At 35.5% G+C, this 18,793-nt stretch overlaps 1 protein-coding gene across 8 annotated transcripts in view, besides 1 other annotated feature; it reads left to right on the top strand.

The window, feature by feature from the left end:
- CTNNA3 (catenin alpha 3) overlaps positions 1 to 18,793 on the top strand; it is a 1,851,072-nt gene that overhangs the window by 1,409,457 nt on the left and 422,822 nt on the right. The gene's annotated exons all lie outside the window — the stretch shown is intronic.
- Positions 2,043 to 2,212: an enhancer, noted in NCBI's record as "experimental_15354 CRE fragment used in MPRA reporter constructs". NCBI's record gives its function as "activates a minimal promoter by MPRAs in K562 erythroleukemia cells, with activity observed for the introgressed 10:68111769 variant allele {active_cell/tissue: K562}" and the evidence as "EXISTENCE:reporter gene assay evidence [ECO:0000049][PMID:34662402]".

Raw genomic sequence — 18,793 nt, 5'->3', positions numbered from 1 at the left:
TAATTGTTTGTGTCTTTAGTAGAGACGGGGTTTTGCCATGTTGGCCAGGCTGGTCTCGACCTCCTGACATCAGGCTATCTGCCTGCCTTGGCTTCCCAAACTGCTGGGATTACAGGCGTGAGCCGCTGCGTCTGGCCGTGTTCACGGAATTTTTACAAATGTCACGGATACTCCCATATGGATGATTATTTTTCCTCACTATTCACATTTTTGAGATTTTGTGTGTTTTTAATTTTTTTTTTTTTACTCTTTCCCCATTTGCATAGTGAAACAAAACAAAAAGCCTCCTCAAATATTCTAAACCCAGTTTTCATCTCCCTAGATTTATCTCAGCGATCCCTTTCCCCTGTTACAAAAACTATCCCTGGGTTGATTAATCTCCAGTTCCTCCTTCCTGATTTTTTTTTCTACATCAACTCCTGAAATCCAGAGGGAAACAAAATGAAACAAATTGGCAATCTTAACTTTTGCTTGGTTGCTCCCCTAGCAGGCTGAGTGGGCAGACTCGGACCAGCTGTCTGACCTAATTTATGTAGATAAGTTTACTTCCATGTTCTTTTCTGCTTGGCAGAAACACACGTCACACTAGTTCATTTTTCTTGAGGTTCTCCCTCAGGCAAAAGCTATGACTTGATTCTCTGGATATGAAAAATACAAAAACAAGACAACAATATTTTATTTTTGTGCATACCAACAGATGTCTGCCTCAACACAGTGAGCTGCGCATCCAACAGGCTAAGAAAGATGTACAAACATAGCCTTTTAAAAATATATATTTGAGCCTACTGAATTTACAATTGTGCCCATTTCTGTGGGCCCTGAAGCAGTCACTGGTTTTATAATGGAAATGAATCTGATACTGTAGCAATGAAAATTAGGAAAGTACCCAACAATATATATCATGAATCTATTCTATTTTAATAGATTTTGTTCCAAACATTAAAAATGCTTTACTGAGGAATTTTTAATGAAATTGGAAAGTTTTCAGAGTATATTATACAGGAATAAAAAGTAGGACACAAAATTAGAGAAGCATATATATATCATTTAAAGATAAAACCGGCTACCTTTAAAATCAATATTTATTTATGATGAAATATATCATACATGAAAGATTACATAATGATAATAAAATAATCACCCATTTACCTATGGCTCAGCTTGAGAAATAAAACTTGCTTCATTTTTGGAAGCCCCTTTAGTGCCCCTCGTTGATGACCTCCTCTTCCTGCTTCACCACAGTCTGCCTCCCCAAGATAACCACTAATGAGTGCTTTTGTTTGTTTGTTATTTCTTTTAAAAATAGTTTTGCCAGATAAGAATATAGTGCATAATATCTAATGTAGCTGTACATTTTTGAGATTTATAAAATGGAATTATATTGTTAAGTATCTTTACGTGATTTGCTTCTCTCTTTTCATTTCATCCCTATGTTCACAGTTAAAACAACTCAATGGCACCTTAAGAAGTGAGAGTCTCTGTGCCAATTAGGGGAATTTCATGATAGGATTATTGGCCACATTTAATGACACAATTTATTATACAGCCCTTTTTCACTCCAAAGTATACAATGGTGTTAGGCTAGATGGGTTTAGCTGAGTTCAAGGCCCTATCGCAATGCAGTGCTGAGAACCACTGTTTTCCTTCATCTTTCAGACCCCATTTGTTGTATTTGCTTCCTACTGCTAGTCCTCTTCCTTTATTATGAATGTTCTTGGAAAACTATCTCTATCTTCCTTCAATATTTGGTTCCTCCTATCTCTACCAATTTGTCATGCACATTTGTCTATGTTTTGATCACAATAGTTCATTGTGTATGTTCCTTCCCCACTAAAGAGGCTCTGCCTGAAAATCAATTTATGAAATGAGATACAAGGAGGGAGGGTAGCCCCAAAGAGCCCATGTATGTTTGAGTCTTCAGTCTGACTGCTGGGGCCTTGTTACCTACTAAGTATAATGAAATATTCCTTCCATTTGATACCTTCTTGCTTGCTTGTTGAAATTCTACTATTTAAAAACCCATCCAAGTGACATCTGCTCTAGGAATCCATCTTAACTAAGTCAGAATGAAATCTTCCATCTCTTTAGTGCTTCTCCCTTTCATTCTGGCATATAGTACTTACTTCATGACTCTTAAAATTATTATTATTTTTATTATTATATATTGTCACCTCCTGGACAGTAAAATTAAAGTTTGGATGCATGTGAAATTGATATACTTAATGGCATATAATAGTCACTAAACATTTGCTAATTTCAACTACATTTGTGTTATTTGTACTATAAAATAATTCAGATTTTCAGACCTCTTTTTGTGCAGAATTGTATATGAGAGATCTTTAATATTACATGATGAAAATTTCACACACTTAATTAGGAAATATCTTACAAAACTCATCAAACTAGGAAGTTGTCTTGACCTTCCCATACCAAATTCTCCATGCTACTAAACATGATAGTGCAAATTTTTATTTTTATTCATTTATTTTTGTAAATATCTACAATGTGATCATGTTTTTAACCATCTACTTGCAGCATACCGTAAATCTAATTCAGGAGTTGAGTTTTGCAGCATTTGATTGCAGTAAAATTATGAATCTCATTAAGCAATCATATTGTTAAATGTTCCTGAATAAATGTAAGATGATATTATTCAGTTTCTAACACTGACTCACATTTTTTTTAATATCTGCTATTTAACAATGGTACTCAGGAATCAGATTGTCTGCATTCAAATCCCAACTTTATTCTGATATTGTAGGTAAGTTATTTAACTTCTCTCAGCCCAAGTCTTCTTATCTGAAAAATTAGAGGAAATACTTACAGCAACCTCATGGGTTGTTGTAATAACCTTCTACATATTGAATGAAATAGCAGAGCACTTGGCACATAGTACATTCTCCATACACAGTAATTGACACCGGAGTGGTCATGATTACTGTATCCTCAGAAAGATTAATTTTTAGATGTGTGCCCTGAAGCAGAATGTGTTGTAGAAGCATGATTCACTGAATTCTGTCATAAATGGGAAATGAGATTGTTGGGTCTGTGCACAAAATTACAGACTTTTGTTTTTGTTTTTGTTTTATTTTCAAAGAAAATAATGATCTTTCCAAATAATCTGATATAGTATATTAATTTATGTTTACTAGGAAATCACTAAAGTATGGCTGTTTACTATCAAGTTATCAGAAGATTGTTATTTAAAGACTATTTGGTGTTTAACAAAGCTCTTGGATCTTTCCCATAGGATCTGGAGGAGTCCTTCTGTGGATAGACAAGGCTTTGTTTGCCTTTACAGTACACTAAGTAAAACCTCAAGAGGGGATGTGTAAATAGTGTAAAATTCAGGATACTCAAAGACCAAACTCATTCCTCCAACTTGTGTTTAATATGTAAATAAACCATTCAGCTACTGGAATCTCTTGAGATGACATTGATTCTGTCATGTGTTGCCCTGAAATAAGAGGAAAATAAGCATTTTCCCAATTGACCCTTCAGCAATTTCTCCAGGCTTTTTTTTTTTTCAGGAGCCCCTTTCCAATTTCCCATCATTTTTCAATAAGATGTGGGAATTTCTTCCCCAATTTTTTTTTTCTGGAGCTACGTTTTGATTTATTTTGTGTTCATTGACTATGGAGTCAGGAAATGTATCTCTTGCCCTTACTCAGATAAATTCGTTCAACATTCTATTTTTGATTGGGAAAAGAACATATTTCTAAGTTTTGCTTCTTGTTTGTGGACAAATGCTAAAAAGTATAATCAAAATTTCTCTTTCTCAGAGCAAATTGAAGCTCTATCATTTGCCTAGGCAGTGACAGCAAAAAGCAAGCTTCCTTTCCCTTCTCTGTCCTGAATGCTTCCTCTAAGATTCTTGCTTCCATGTATAGTCTTATGTGTCTTTCAGTGAGTAGCCCAGAATGTTCACAGAAGAGCCAATTAAGACACTTTGAAGTATTTAACGAAAGAGGATATTGCAGTTAACTTGGGCAGCAGATTCTCAACAAAGTACCCAATTTATGCCTGCTATCTAGAACAATATATACTAAAAATCACAGAATAATCCTTTACACTGAATGATATAACTTTATATCACCAATGTGTTACGTTGCTATAATAGAGGAAATGTGATTCCTGTGCAGTTGAAGAGTATTAGTAATGGTCCACTCATTTGTTTTTCTTTGGCTCTGTAAACTGCCTCTAAAGAAAACTGCAGGATCAAAGCCATTGGTGATGGGGTGACTGAGAAGCTAGGTATGTGATATTCTGAAGAGTAAATGATGAGTATATTTGTTTTGGTTAGTTTTGATTAAGCCATTTAATGGTAAAGTTGCAGTTTAAAAACTGTACTTATGACCATAAAACCACCTTATTTCAACATTATTCTTGTACAAAAAAAACTCTCAAACTTGTTACTGCACATGTCATACTCTCTGGATTTTGAATCTCTTTGGGTATTTTTCTCATGGAAATGATTACTTTTAAAGATCATCCTGATAATTCAATTTTCTTAAGATTGCAACTGTTTCAAAATAGAAAAGTTAGCGTAGTTGTGAAATTTGTGAATGGCTTTGGAAAGAATAACCTGCTTTTTCTTTTCCTTCATGAGCCACTCTCTGATGATAGCTCTTTATTTTCCAGGTATATTTGTTAATCATTGTTGCCTATTAATATTTCAACAAAGTTCTCAGCTTAAAACAATACTCACATGTGGGTTTTTGTGTGTCAGAAATCCAGGCATGGCTTACTGTGTCCTCTGATTGGAGTTGTGTTCTCTGATTGGAGTCTTAGAAAGCAATCAAGGTGTCAGACAGGGCTGTGGATTCATTTGAGGCTTTTTCAAGCTCATTCAGGTTGTTGGCGGAATTCAGTTCCCTGTGGTTGTAGGAGTGAGGGCTTCAGTTTCTTCTTTGTATCTGCCAAAAGCCACTGTCAGCTCCTAGAGGCTGCCCACAGGTTTTGCTGTATGATTTCCCCAACAAAGTTGCTTGTCTTCTGAATGCCATCAAGGAAGAGAGAGACTCCATCAGGACAAGAAATATAATCTTATGTAACGAATTGTGAAGTAACGAACATGTAATCAAATATATCCCATCAACTTTTCCGTTTTCTGTTTGTTACAAACAAGTCACAAACTCAGGAAGAAAGGGTCATGGTGGCCACCTTAAAGGACTACCTGACACATCAGAGAAATATTTAGAATAGTCACAATAAAATGCAAGCCTAAATCTTATGCCTAAACCATAAATCCCCTGGTACCAGTAGAAGCACCAGGAAATTTTGTTATTTGAGCAGCCAATACATGGTCTAATCATAAAAGTAGTTATATGATTATCAACTTATTAAATATTCTATTCAAGTCAGATTCTGGTAGATTACATCACATCATCAACAAGCGGACACTCGTAGAGTAAAACCTACAGACTATAATGGTGTAGGAGGCAAGATTGATTGTAAACTAGCTTCTTTTCCTTATTAAAATGTATGTCTCTTTTTGTATATGAATTTAAAAGTAAACTTGATTCTTTCTCAACTTGAAACCACAATTTACTATTAAGTTGACCCAAGTGAAATGACTGATATTCAACTTTTTTGACCTACAAGATAATTTCATATGATTCAACCTGATAGTTTCCCTGTATTGTTTTATACATTCCAAGAAGAATGCTAAATTGTATATACATTATCACACTCAATCCCACAACCATACTATGCAGTACATGGAATAATATGCATTGTACAGATGAGGAAATGGAGTCTCAGTGGGATTATGTGAATTGATTATATTTAAGCTAATAATCGGCTAATTAAATTATAGGGTTGATAGCAAAATGCAAATCTGCTGTTCAAAGCCTGTTCTTTTAGCCACTATTCTAAGACTGATAAAAATATATAGACTAATTAATGCTAACATCATATTTTATCTAAGATGAAGTTATTGTGTTTCATTTTTGCAAGAAAGACTGAAGAAAGAGTAGACAGGAAGAGAAGAGGCTTAAGAGTCAGGATTCCTTTCTGAATCTGATGCCAACCTGATTGTCTTTCATGATTTGGTATTCTTAGTATTCTTAAGGTTGTTTTTTGTCTTTGTTATTCTGTAGTTTCACTAAGGTGTGTCTAAGTGCGGATTCATTTTTATTTATACTGTTTTGGAGGTATATATCATTGCCTCCTGTTTGTGAACTCATGTCTCTAACAAGTTTCAGAAAGTTCCTAGCTATTTTCTATTCAAATATGTCATTTATTCTATTATCTCGATTATCTCGTCCTGAGCATGTGACAGTATACATGATGGGTAGTCTCATTCTATCCACCATATTCTTTATTCAGATTTATGTATTTCCAGGCCTTTGTTTCACTGTACTGTAATCCAGATAATTTCTGCAGATAACTTTTCCAATTCACTAATCTTTTCTTCAGTTGTGTATGATATGATGATTCATCCATTTGTTAACTTTTTTTAAACATATATATTTCTTCAATTTTAGATATTTGGTAGATTCTTGCTGTCTGCTTTTTTTTTTAAGATAGGTTCTCACTCTGTCACTCAGGCAAGAGTACAGTGGCAGGATCACAGCTTACTGTGGCCTCTACCTTCTGGGCTCAAGCAATCCTCCTACCTAAGCCTCCTGAATAGCTGGAACCGCAGATGTGGCCACCATACCTGACTCATTTTTAAAATGTTTTGTAGAGACGGAATCTCACAAAAATCTTGCCCCAGCTGGTCTTGAACTCCTGGCCTCAAGCAATCTTCCCGCCTTGGCCTCCCAAAGTGCTTGGATTACAGGTGTGAGCCATGGCATCCAGCCTGTTTGGCTCTTAATAAGACATAAAACTTCCTTTAATTTCAATCTTTTCATAAATAAAATGGAAATATGGAAATTGTTATTACCTTAGACAATAACTAGAGAATTAAATCATTTAATGTATTGAAACTTATAAAATGTTTGGCCCATAGGAAATGACATGTATATTTTTTTCTACTATTTATTGAATTTGCCTGATGATTATTTTTGTTTTCTGATTTTATGATTCCATATCTCTATCTATAGACAAAGAAAGAGAAATACTATATTAGATCACTCTAGTACATGAATTTTTTTCAGGATGTAAATCTGATATTTGTTGTTTGCTGCTTTTTGTGAGGCATTTTTTTTTTCTACCGAAGATTTATATTCACATCTGCAGATCTCAGACCACATTAGCCCCATTCCAGGGTCCCAAGTATAATCAAGATTCTTAATCTCATCACCTCAATTTTTCCACTCAAGTCTAGATGCCCAATGTCTTTCACACTTGGTTACAACTCTTTCCCCAACCTAACACCTTCAATGAGTCTCTTTACTTACTGAGAGCCCAGAAATGTGATAAAAATAACGTTTCATGTAAGTTATTAGGTAATTAAGTAAGTTATTAGGATCAAGTAATTAGAATTGTCTATCCTACCATATAGCTGCAAGCAAAAGTCTCTAATCCAGTCATTACTGGTCATACAAAATTTATGTTGTGAGAGCAGTTACCAAACAAGTGTTTTTAATTGTTATGAATATATTTACTATTTGGCCAGGTGCGGTGGCTCACGCCTGTAATCCCAACACTTTGGGAGGCCGAGGCAGGCAGATCACGAGGTCAAAAGATCAAGACCATCCAGGCCAACATGGTGAAGCCCCGTCTTTACTAAAAATACAAAACTTAGCCGAGCATGGTGGTGCATGTGTGTAGTCCCAGCTACTCAGGAGGCTGACGCAGGATAATTGCTTGAACTCAGGAGGCGTGGGTTGCAGTGAGCCGAGATCATGCCACTCCACTCCAGCCTGGTGACAGGGCAAGACTCTGTCTCTGTCTCTCTTTCTCTCTCTCTCTCTCTCTCTCTCTCTCTCTCTCTCTCTCTATATATATATATATATATATATATATATATATATACACACACACATACTTACTATTCAATTTAATTTCCTATATTACAACAAATTGGAGGATGTATTCCACATTCTTTCTAACATGAGAACAGAAGGCAATGGTTTCCAACTAAATATTCTTTTTTTTTTTTTTTTTTTTGAGATGGAGTCTCTCTCTGTTGCCCAGGCTGGAGTGCAGTGGTGCGATCTCGGCTCACTGCAACCTCTGTCTCCCAGATTCAAGCAATTCTCCTGTCTCGGCCTCCCCAGTAGCTGGGACTATAGGTGCACACCACCACTCCCAGCTAAGTTTTGTATTTTTAGTAGAGAACGGGGTTTCACCATACTGGTCAGGCTGGTCTCAAACTCCTGACCTCAGGTGATCCACCCGCCTTGGCCTCCCAAAGTGCTGGGATTACAGGTGTGAGCCACCACGCCATTATTTCAGATGTGGGATATTTCAAGATGATTCAGAAACTTTCTGCTGCTTTCAGAAATGTATGCATAGCTTGTCATTATAAAAAGGGACTTTTCAAAAATTATTTTGCTATATCATGAAGAATTCAACCAAATAATACTTACCCAAGTGAAATAACACCTTTATTCTTTAAAATCATACTGAATTCCCAAGTTTCCACCTTCTTTGGGTACAGTTATTCTCAGAAAAGAATTGTTTACATTTATTTAGAGAAAAAAAATAAAACCCTCTATCTAGAGGCTTGAAAATTGTTTCAAACTGCCATCTATACAGTAATTCCCTTCAGAATGAAATGGTAGAATAATGACACAGAGGAGCAGAGTCCATCAGCCATTCACACTGCCTGATTTAACGCTGGTCATCAAAATCAATATGGAAATGAGCATTTTTATGTTTGAAACCTTTGTTTAACATTTTTCAGAGGAAACATGGCTTTGGGGTTTTTTATGATGCTATACATTTTCCAGAAGCCATTTACCAATTCCACTGCAGTGGGCCAAATTTGCTATAAACTACATTCTAGCCTTTATTGTATCTCCTGGCATCTTGCTTTGTTCCCATCACATATTGTTGTTTAGTGACAAAATTATCTTAACAGCAGCATTTGTAGTTCAGAATGCCGGCAAAATTTCTATGCCTGAAAATATAAAGACTATGCCATATTTTTTCTAATTTATGATAAACCTTTAATAAAGATAAGTCTTGCTCCTCTCTTTCCTGAGTTTTACTCTCCCCTATTTTGAAATTACCTGTGGCTTAGCTTTTTAATATGTTTCCTTAATTATTAAATTAAATATAGTTAATGAAGGACTAGAATTTTTGTATACCTTTAGGTTCCAGAAAGGAAACATTTTTTGCTTTATACTTGTGGGCAAGAAAGCATTCATGTTTAGATTTGTATACACTGGGGATTCTAGAACCAGGAAGGCAGGAATATGATAAGGCCATATTTATACCAACTGGCTTTCTAAATCAGATGCCTCTATTGCCAGTACCATTGGTCAGTTCGTCTGAAGGATGTTTCCTTCTATAGAAATCATAAACTTTCATAAAGAGACTGTTTGGGACCATAGAGAGAAGACTTTAGATCATAAGGGTAGTGGTATCTAATTTAGGTTTATTTAAGTAAACAGTGGCAGGAATTTCAATTTTTGATTTTTAAAATTAGAAACATACAAAAATACACACTACAGGCTGGGCCCAGTGGCTCACACCTGTAATCCCAGCACTTTGGTTGGCCAAAGCCGACGGATCACCTGAGGTCAGGAGTTCGAGACCAGCCTGGCCAATATAGTGAAACCCTGTCTCTACTACAAATACAAAAATGAGCCGGGCATGGTGGCACATGCCTGTAATCCCAGCTACTCAGGAGGCTGAGGCAGGAGAATCGTTTGAACCCGGGAGACGGAGGTTGCAGTGAGCTGAGATCACGCCACTGCACTCCAGCCTGGGTGACAAGAGCGAGACTCTTTCTCAAACAAACAAACAACAACAACAACAAAAACACATTGCAGTCAATTTTTTTTTTTTTTGAGATGGAGTCTCGCCCTGTCCCCCAGGCTGGAGTGCAATGGTGCGATCTCGGCTCACTACAACCTCTGCCTCTGGGGTTCAAGTGATTCTCCTGCCTCAGCCTCCTGAGTAGCTAGGATTACAGGCAACCGCCACCACGTCTGGTTAATTTTTGTATTTTTAGTAGAGACAGGGTTTCACCATGTTGGTCAAGCTGATCTCGAACTCCTGACCTCAGGTGATCTGCCAGTCTCACCCTCCCAAAGTGCTCAGATTACAGGCATGAGCCCCTATGCCCAGCCTACAATCAATTTTATAGAGATTTAGAGGAAGAGTAAAAATTATAGAATTTGAAGATTGAGAGGGCTTGTCTTTTTAAATTTATTTAATTGACAAATAATAATTGCACATACTTATGAGTACATAGTGATGATTCGATACATATAATGTATAGTAATGCACAGGGTAATTAGCATATCCATCATCTCAAAGATTTATCGTTTCTTTGTGTTGGGAACATTAAATATCCACTTCTAGCTATTTGAAACTATATATTATTGTTAACTAGAGTCATCCTAGAGTGGTATAGAGCACTAGAACTTACTCCTCCTATCTAGCTGGAATTTTGTATCCTCTAATAAATCTCTCCCTATCACTCCCTTCCCCTGACCTTTCCCAGCCCCAGTATCCTCTGTTCTTTTACTTCTATGAGATCAACTTTTTTTTTTTAACTTCCACATTTGAGTAAGAAAGTGTGGTGTTTAACTTTTTGTTCTTGGCTTATTTCACGCAACATAATGTCCTAATCCTCCAATTCTATCCACTGTGAAAGACAGGATTTCATTCTTTTTATGGCTAAATAGTATTCCATTGTGTATATGTGTCACATTTTCTTTATTCATTCATCTGTTGTTAGACACCTAGGTTGATTTCATGTCTTGCCTGTTGTGATTAATGACACAATAAACATGAGAGTGCAGGTGTCTCTTTGATATAATGATTTAATTTCTTTTGGATAAATTACCAGTACCAGGATTGCTGGATCATATTGGGGTCCTATTTGTAGCTTTTTGAGGAACTTCCATACCCTTCTCCATAGTGGCTGTACTAGTTTACGTTCCCACCAACAGCTTATGAGTTCCTTTTTCTCCACATTGAGAGGGCTTGTCAATGTGCCAGAGACTTTAAACTCTGCCAATGACTGGTTTTGCATCTTTAGGCAAAGTGCTTAAACTTTCTGAACTTCAGTATTCATATATGTGAAATGGTGACCTCATGTTATATTTGTTGAGAATTAAATAAAACAATGAAAAGATTCTTACTGCCCTTTGCACATAGTTTTCAATCAGCAAATATTCCAAATAATTCTTTACATATAGTTGTCATTGAACAAATAATACGACAAAGATAATATCTTCCAAAAATTATTGAATATTAAGGAATAAATTCAGAATATTGAAGAAGAGAAATAAAGGATCCTGTGATGTGGCTTATATTACAACATTACCTAAAGTAGTCCATTCCTCTTAGTGAATAAATGAAGGAATTAATGAATTATATGACCAATATTTATAGCACAAAACTAATTTCTTTCCTTACACACAGATGTTTATAATGAATGTTATATAAGAGAAGCTCTCCTTTATTGACAATAATAGTAAGCAATTGATATTTCATATGTTCTATGCAACATTGTTTTCTAAAATCTTATTGACTATGTAGAAGATAATAATATTTGCATACAAAGAATGTTTTCTCTGTCCTTCCTCATTTTTACATTAATTATAAATTTAAACCATCTAGAAATTTCATAAGTTTAAATATGTGTGACTTGGAATGCTGTCATTTATAAATACACACAGTTTTCTAAATGAATAAATGGATGTATTTTTCATGTCCTCAATTATCTATTCATTTAATGCTCTTTATGAAGTTCCTGATATGTGCCAGGCATTTTGTTGGGCTCTGAGGAAACAGTGATGATGACATGATCCCAGCGTTTAAAGCCAGCACATTTTACTGACATAGTCAAGAAACTTGGTTGAACACTAAATGCTAAGTACGGTTTAGACTATTTGGACTATTGCAAAAAAGAAGTGTAATTTTCTAAGACCTAGATAAGGACTAACACATGCAACTAAGAATTAGAAAAAATTGAATTAGAATTAGAATATTGAAATCTGTGTGATCTTGTGTAAGTTATAAACCATCCTTGTATCTCAAACTCATTATCTGTAAAATAATTTTTCAAAAATTATATATATGTGAATATATATATATATATACACACACACACATAATGATGCCTACTTCATAAATGTGCTATGAATATTAATCTTCCTACTGTGGTTTCTGAAGACTTTCTATCCCATTTCCATATATTGTTCCCCTTCTGAGGTTAATACGCAAAGAATAATATCAACAGTAGAAAGCAACCCCCTGACCAGCACACAGACTCAGCGGCCATCTCCAAATTTCTCTCAAATTAGGTTCATTTAACCATGCATCACTTCGAAAACCAATATGAAAAGGTAAAGGCAAAAGTAGTGATGCATTTTAATGTCTGTGTGTTTACATCTGTTTTCTTAGATTTTATTCTGTGACTCAATTAAGAAGATAACACCAAGCAATTGTGCATAAAGAAAAATCTAAAGTACAATTTACTATGTCCATTATTTCTGCCAACTTTAATAATAACTACTGATGAGCCTCACATTTAAGATATACAGCCTAGGAGGCATATGTGTATCCAATTAGTCCTATTTCTTCTTAGAACTAAAAATACTCTTTTATTTGTAGTTTTAATAGCTTAATTTTGCTGATGTTATAATTTGAAATGAGCTTAGTCAAAGTAGCCTCTGACACCCAAACATATGGGGTTTTGCTTTCACTGAATTTATTTAAGTCCTTTATTATCTCAAGTTACAGCATGGCAAAGAGACTATTTTATTTGCATTTAGTAAACTTTCAGAACGTGTGCAGTTTTGATAGCTTATAATTTACTAGAATGAGGGCGTAAAGAAATTTGATGGTTGCTAACATGTTTATGGTTTCTTGAAAAGAGACTGGTTTTATCATCTTGTTTCATCTTCTTTTAACTCATCCATGAGAATATTTGAATCTCAGAAAAGCATCCCTGACAATCACCATGAAAGGAAGTAAGACTCTTAGGATGATGATAGTTCATGGCACTTAATCTGTATCCACTTGCCCATTATAAAGACATTTGGAGTCTGTTTCAATGTTAGACAGAGGTATGTTTCTTAATCTGATTCCATTTAGCATAATGCTAACTTCTAAAATTCCATTAAAAATACATTATAGAGACAGGAGCATAATTTTTACTACCAACACTATATATCGAGTCTGCAGATCTGAGTTCAAATTATACCTAAAATAAAAATAATGTTACCTTTGGATATTACTTCACCTTTTTTTCGCCACATTTTATTTATCTATTAAACAGGGGTAAGAATATCTCATCCGTATATCTCTCAGGATGGTTACGAAAATTAAATCTAATAATGTATTTAAAATTTCTCATCAAATGATAAATATGAGATATTATTTAAGACACTATCTTTAATAATATTTCATGTATTGAAATATGAATAACCATAATTACTGCAATTGCTTAATAACTGTTAAATAGGGTTAGTAGTAATGAATCTTATTAGAATAGAATCATGTAAATAGTATAGGCTCCTTCCTGTCTTCAGACATAGTAATATTTAAAACAAATATAGAAAATTTCTAAACATATATACACTCTATACTATCTGTCTAGTGGAGTACGTAAAACAAACAAACAGCTCTACCATCTCTAAATTAGAGTTTAGATTTTAGGTTTTTAGGTATAACCACCCAAGGGATTAGCTGTGTCTCCTTGACCTCTCTGACTCTCTGATTCTCAATTTTTATCTCTGGAACTTGACATAGAATTGGTATCTGCAATGGAAAAATTCAGTAGTAGAGTTGACACTTTTTATACTGAATGTGACTTTTTGGATGCTATAAGTATTGTTTTGGAGATGTAACAACCTATATTGTAAGTCAAGAAAGCTAGTCAGGCAAGGGAAGTTGAGTTTCTTGAGTATATGGTGACAGGCAAGAGATGACAATTTAGGCAAGCTCTAAGTGTCAACCAAGACCCACAAATATAACCCTGTCCTTTTTTATTAATATGTAACAGGTGTGTACAATCCTGGGTAACATTAGTACATGTATTATTAATTATGAAGTCAAATAAGTATCATGCATGAGGGATGTCTGCAAGGCTCCATCCACTCGGCTGTATTTCAAAGATGAGATCCATGGGATTCTAGCAAGATAAATCCAGCAAATTATGGGTATTAGAAGCAGGGAGCCACTCAAGAAATCTGACAATAAAGAATTCAATTATTGAAATGAAGTAGAAAATGGTGACTTAATCTCATAGGTAAACCAGAAGTCTAGTTACTAGAATTAACACAAGGTCAGAGCTGGATTATGAATAAGATTAAATCAACTCTGACCCTTCTGAGAACTGATTTTTAAAATTCCCTTTTCACTACAGGAAAGATAGGAATTGGGACATTAGACGGCACTCAAGTAGCAGGAACTATCTGTAACCCTGTCTGTAGAAATAAAAGGAATTTGGGGGTTAGGAAACCAAGTAGGACATAAGAATTAACCCTGGCTGAGCTTTTAAAATCTTTCCTTTACTGTCTTTATCTATCTTTTTATTTTAGCTTATAATTGTTTATTTCTCTTTCCCAATTTCTTCTTTTAATCTTCTCAAAGAAGAAATTTCATAATTGGTGAACCTATTACCTCTGCTGATTTATGAAAGATTTCTAAGATTTAACAATCAGACTTTTATGTTTATAATATAGAAATTAAAGTTTGATTTAGATATTCACAAAAGTACCATATTTTTCTCTCCTTTGCTTTGGAATAAATAAATGATTTAAAAATTATTGTTCTTTTAATAGCTAGCTAAATTGTTTTACTCTAATCCCTTATTGATTCTCCCATGTGTCAGTTTCTGTCAATTAATAACAGAGATTAATTTTAAATAATCGCTTACCATGTGTTGCTCACTGTGTTTAAGAATGCACATGTTTCATATGTGTTAGCTACATTTAATTCTCTCAACAAAAAATACATAGATTTTTGTTGGTAGAGCTAGATGCTAATATTATCGCCTTTACAGATGAAGATACTGAACACAATCTCATTGGTAACATCAATTTAATTATTGTTTAATAGTTCACTATGTGAATGTAGTGATTTACTTCACTATTTTTCTTAAAGAATTTAGGTATTCTTTAGTTTTTACACTGTAAACAATGGCAAGGATTTATTTTTTAAAATTATTTCATGCGTAACATTTTCTTCTGTAGTTAAGATAATTTCCTTAGGATAAATTTTCACAGTATAAATCCTTGGGTCAAAGGAAAGAAAAATTAAGGGTCTTGATGTCTATTTTCACATTGCTTTGGACAAAGACTGTTCTAATCTGCTCAGTTCCAACTTCCTTTTAGAACTGTGAAATCACAGTTAACAACCTGCCTCCCTGATCTTTGTCTCATCCTTCCTTGCTCTTTTCTCTTTAGGTTTTCATTCCCCTGTTTATTCTGTGTTGATCTTATTCTTGCACTGACTCCCTAATCTCTATTAAGCTTTCAGTCACCAAGTTTTCAGCTTTTTCTTTACTATCACTTAATTACTATGTTATTTCTTTAACTACTGTATGTTCCTTCAGTAACTGTTAAAAAGAGATCTTTCCAAATGGCCTAAGCACTTTTTGAGGCTTATTCTGTGTATCATATTCACCCATTTCAAGAATAAAAGTTAGTGATGTTTAGTATATTTACTGAGCTGTGCAACTATCACCATAAGTCAGTTTTTGAGCATTTTCATGACCACAATAAGAACTCTTATGTCTATTTGCTATTAATCCTTCCGACCTCCAGGCCCAGGCAACCAATTATCTACTTTTGGTGAGTTTAAATTTGCCTTTCTATGACATCTTATATAATCGAATTATGCAACATGTGGTCCTTTGTGACTGGCGTCTCTCACTTAGCAAAATGTTTTGAGGTCCATCCTTGGTGTAGCATATATCAAAACTTCATTCCTTTTTATGGCTGAATAATAGTCCATTGTGCAGATATACCACATTTTATGTTATCTATTCTTAAACTGATGAACATTTAGGGTTATTTCTATTTTTAGGCTCTTATAAATAATGCTGTTATCAACATTTCTCTACAAGTCTTTACATGAACATATACTTTATTTGTCTTAGCTATGGATACCTAGGCTATGCATAGCTTCATTTATCTTTATCTTATATAGATACCTAGGAATGAAATTGCTGGGTCATGTGGTAACTCACATATATATTCCACTTTCAGAACTGCCATACTGTTTTCCAAAGTGGCTGCACCATTTTATATTCCCATCAGTGATGTATAAGGTTTCTTCATTTCTTTACATTCTTGTTCATATTTATTATTGTCTAGATTATTTATTATGACCACCTTAGTGGCTATGAAATGACATCTCATTAGGGTTTTAGTTTGTATTGCCTTAATTACTTTTGATGTTGATCAGCTTTTCATGTGCTCATGCAACAAGTTTTTAAATCTTTTTTGAGACTGAGCCAGGGTAATGATTAAGAATCTGAAGTTTGAACGTAGTCAGACCTGGTTCAAAGTCCAGTGCTTCCTCTTATCACCTTAGAGGAACATCCTGATCATCCTGAGCCACAGATTTCTTTCCCAAAAAGAGAGGAGCACAATATCTGGCTCATAGCACTGTGGAGGATTAAATGATGTAATGTGTATAAAGTGGCCAGCTGGTTGGACAAATGCAGTAAATAGTAGTTGCTATTCTTCCAAATAAGTGTATCTGTACTTATCCGTTTGAGATGCTTAAAAGTAGTAATTCTAAGACTCTTTGGTCTCAGGACTCCTTTACACTCTTAAAAATTATTGAAGACTACAAAAAGCCTTCGTATGCAGATTAAATTTATTGATATTTTCTGTATTAGATACTAAAACTGACATATTTTTTAAAAATTTGTTTACAAATTAATTTTTCCAATAACTATGATAAACCCATTAGAAGTTAACATAAACAATATTTTTATGAAAAATAAATATATGTTTAGAAACAAAATAATGAGAAGAGTAGCATTTTTTTACATTTCCCAAATCTATTTAATGATTTGGCTCAATAGAAAACATCTGGGTTTTCCTCTCTGCTTCTGCAGTCAATCTGTTATACTGCACTTCATGCAGCCTCTGGAAAAAAATCCACAGTTAACTCATGAGAGCCTAACAGTGAAAAAGACAAATAAGGTCTTAGTATTATTACAAAAATAGTTTGACTTTACAGATCTTCTGATGGGTTCTCAAGGCCCCCCTGGAGGCCCTGGACCACTCTTTGAGAAGCATTGCTATAAGAGCTATGAGAGAATTTTTCAACCCAATTAATTAGGCCCTGTTTATACTCAGCACTATATTCAGTGTGAATGATTTTGGACTTAATTTTGAAAAAAATTATTGGAAAGTAAGTAGATGTGAAATTTTTGGAATATTAGAAAACATAATCAAATTATAAAAATAATGAATTATAGAATAGACAATGTTACAAAAAATATTGTGTGAAGAAAGACTATTGTGGGCCACTGGGAAATTCTTGTGGGATGTTAATAAGGAATGTCTTAAACTATGCAATAATTCCTGGAGGATAGAGAGGTTATTAACTCTTTGCAATTCTTTTTACATAAGCAAAGATTCCAAAGTTATTATTAAATGACTAGACAAACGGTGGCAAAATTTTGGGTAATCAAATTAGGTAAGAAGAAATATGTGCTGGGGGTGGAGCTAAGATGGCCGGATAGGAACACCTCCAGTCTACAGCTCCCAGCATGGGTGATGCAGAAGATGGGTGATTTCTGCATTTCCAACTGAGGTACCAGGTTCATCTCACTGGGGATTGTCGGACAGTGGGTGCAGGACAGTGGGTGCTGTGCACCGAGCATGAGCCGAAGCAGGGTGAGGCATTGCCTCACCCGGGAAGCACAAGGGGTCAGGGAATTCCGTTTCCTAGTCAAAGAAAGGGGTGACAGACGGCACCTGGAAAATCGGGTCACTCCCACCCTAATACTGCGCTTTTCCAATGGTCTTAGCAAATAGCACACCAGGAGATTATATCCCGCACCTGTCTTGGAGGGTCCTACAAGCACGGAGCCTCGCTCATTGCTAGCACAGCAGGCTGAGATCAAACTGCAAGGCAGCAGCAAGGCTGGAGGAGGGGCACCCCGCCATTGCCCAGGCTTGAGTAGGTAAACAAAGCGGCTGGGAAGCTCAAACTGGGTGGAGCCCACCACAGCTCAAGGAGACCTGCCTGCCTCTGTAGACTCCACCTCTGAGGGCAGGGCATAGCCAAACAAAAGGCAGCAGAAACCTCTGCAGACTTAAATGTCCCTGTCTGACAGGTTTAAAGAGAGTAGTGGTTCTCCCAGCACGCAGCTGGAGATCTGAGAACGGACAGACTACCTCCTCAAGTGGGTCCCTGACCCCCGAGTAGCCTAACTGGGAGGCACCCCAAAGTAGGGGCAGACTGACACTTCACATGGCCGGGTACTCCTCTGGGACAAAACTTCCAGAGGAACAATCAGGCAGCAACATTTGCTGTTCACCAATATCCACTGTTCTGCAGCTTCTGCTGCTGATACCCAGGCAAAGAGGGTCTGGAGTGGACCTCCAGCAAACTCCAACAGATCTGCAGCTGAGGGTCCTGACTGTTAGAAGGAAAACTAACAAACAGAAAGGACATCCACACCAAAACACCATCTGTACGTCACCATCATCAAAGACCAAAGGTAGATAAAACCACAAAGATGGGG

Source organism: Homo sapiens, chromosome 10 (genome assembly GCF_000001405.40).
Source record: "Homo sapiens chromosome 10, GRCh38.p14 Primary Assembly".
NCBI lineage: Eukaryota > Metazoa > Chordata > Mammalia > Primates > Hominidae > Homo > Homo sapiens.
The sequence above is the reverse complement of the archived record's forward strand: the minus strand, read 5'-3'. Positions and strand labels throughout refer to the sequence as shown.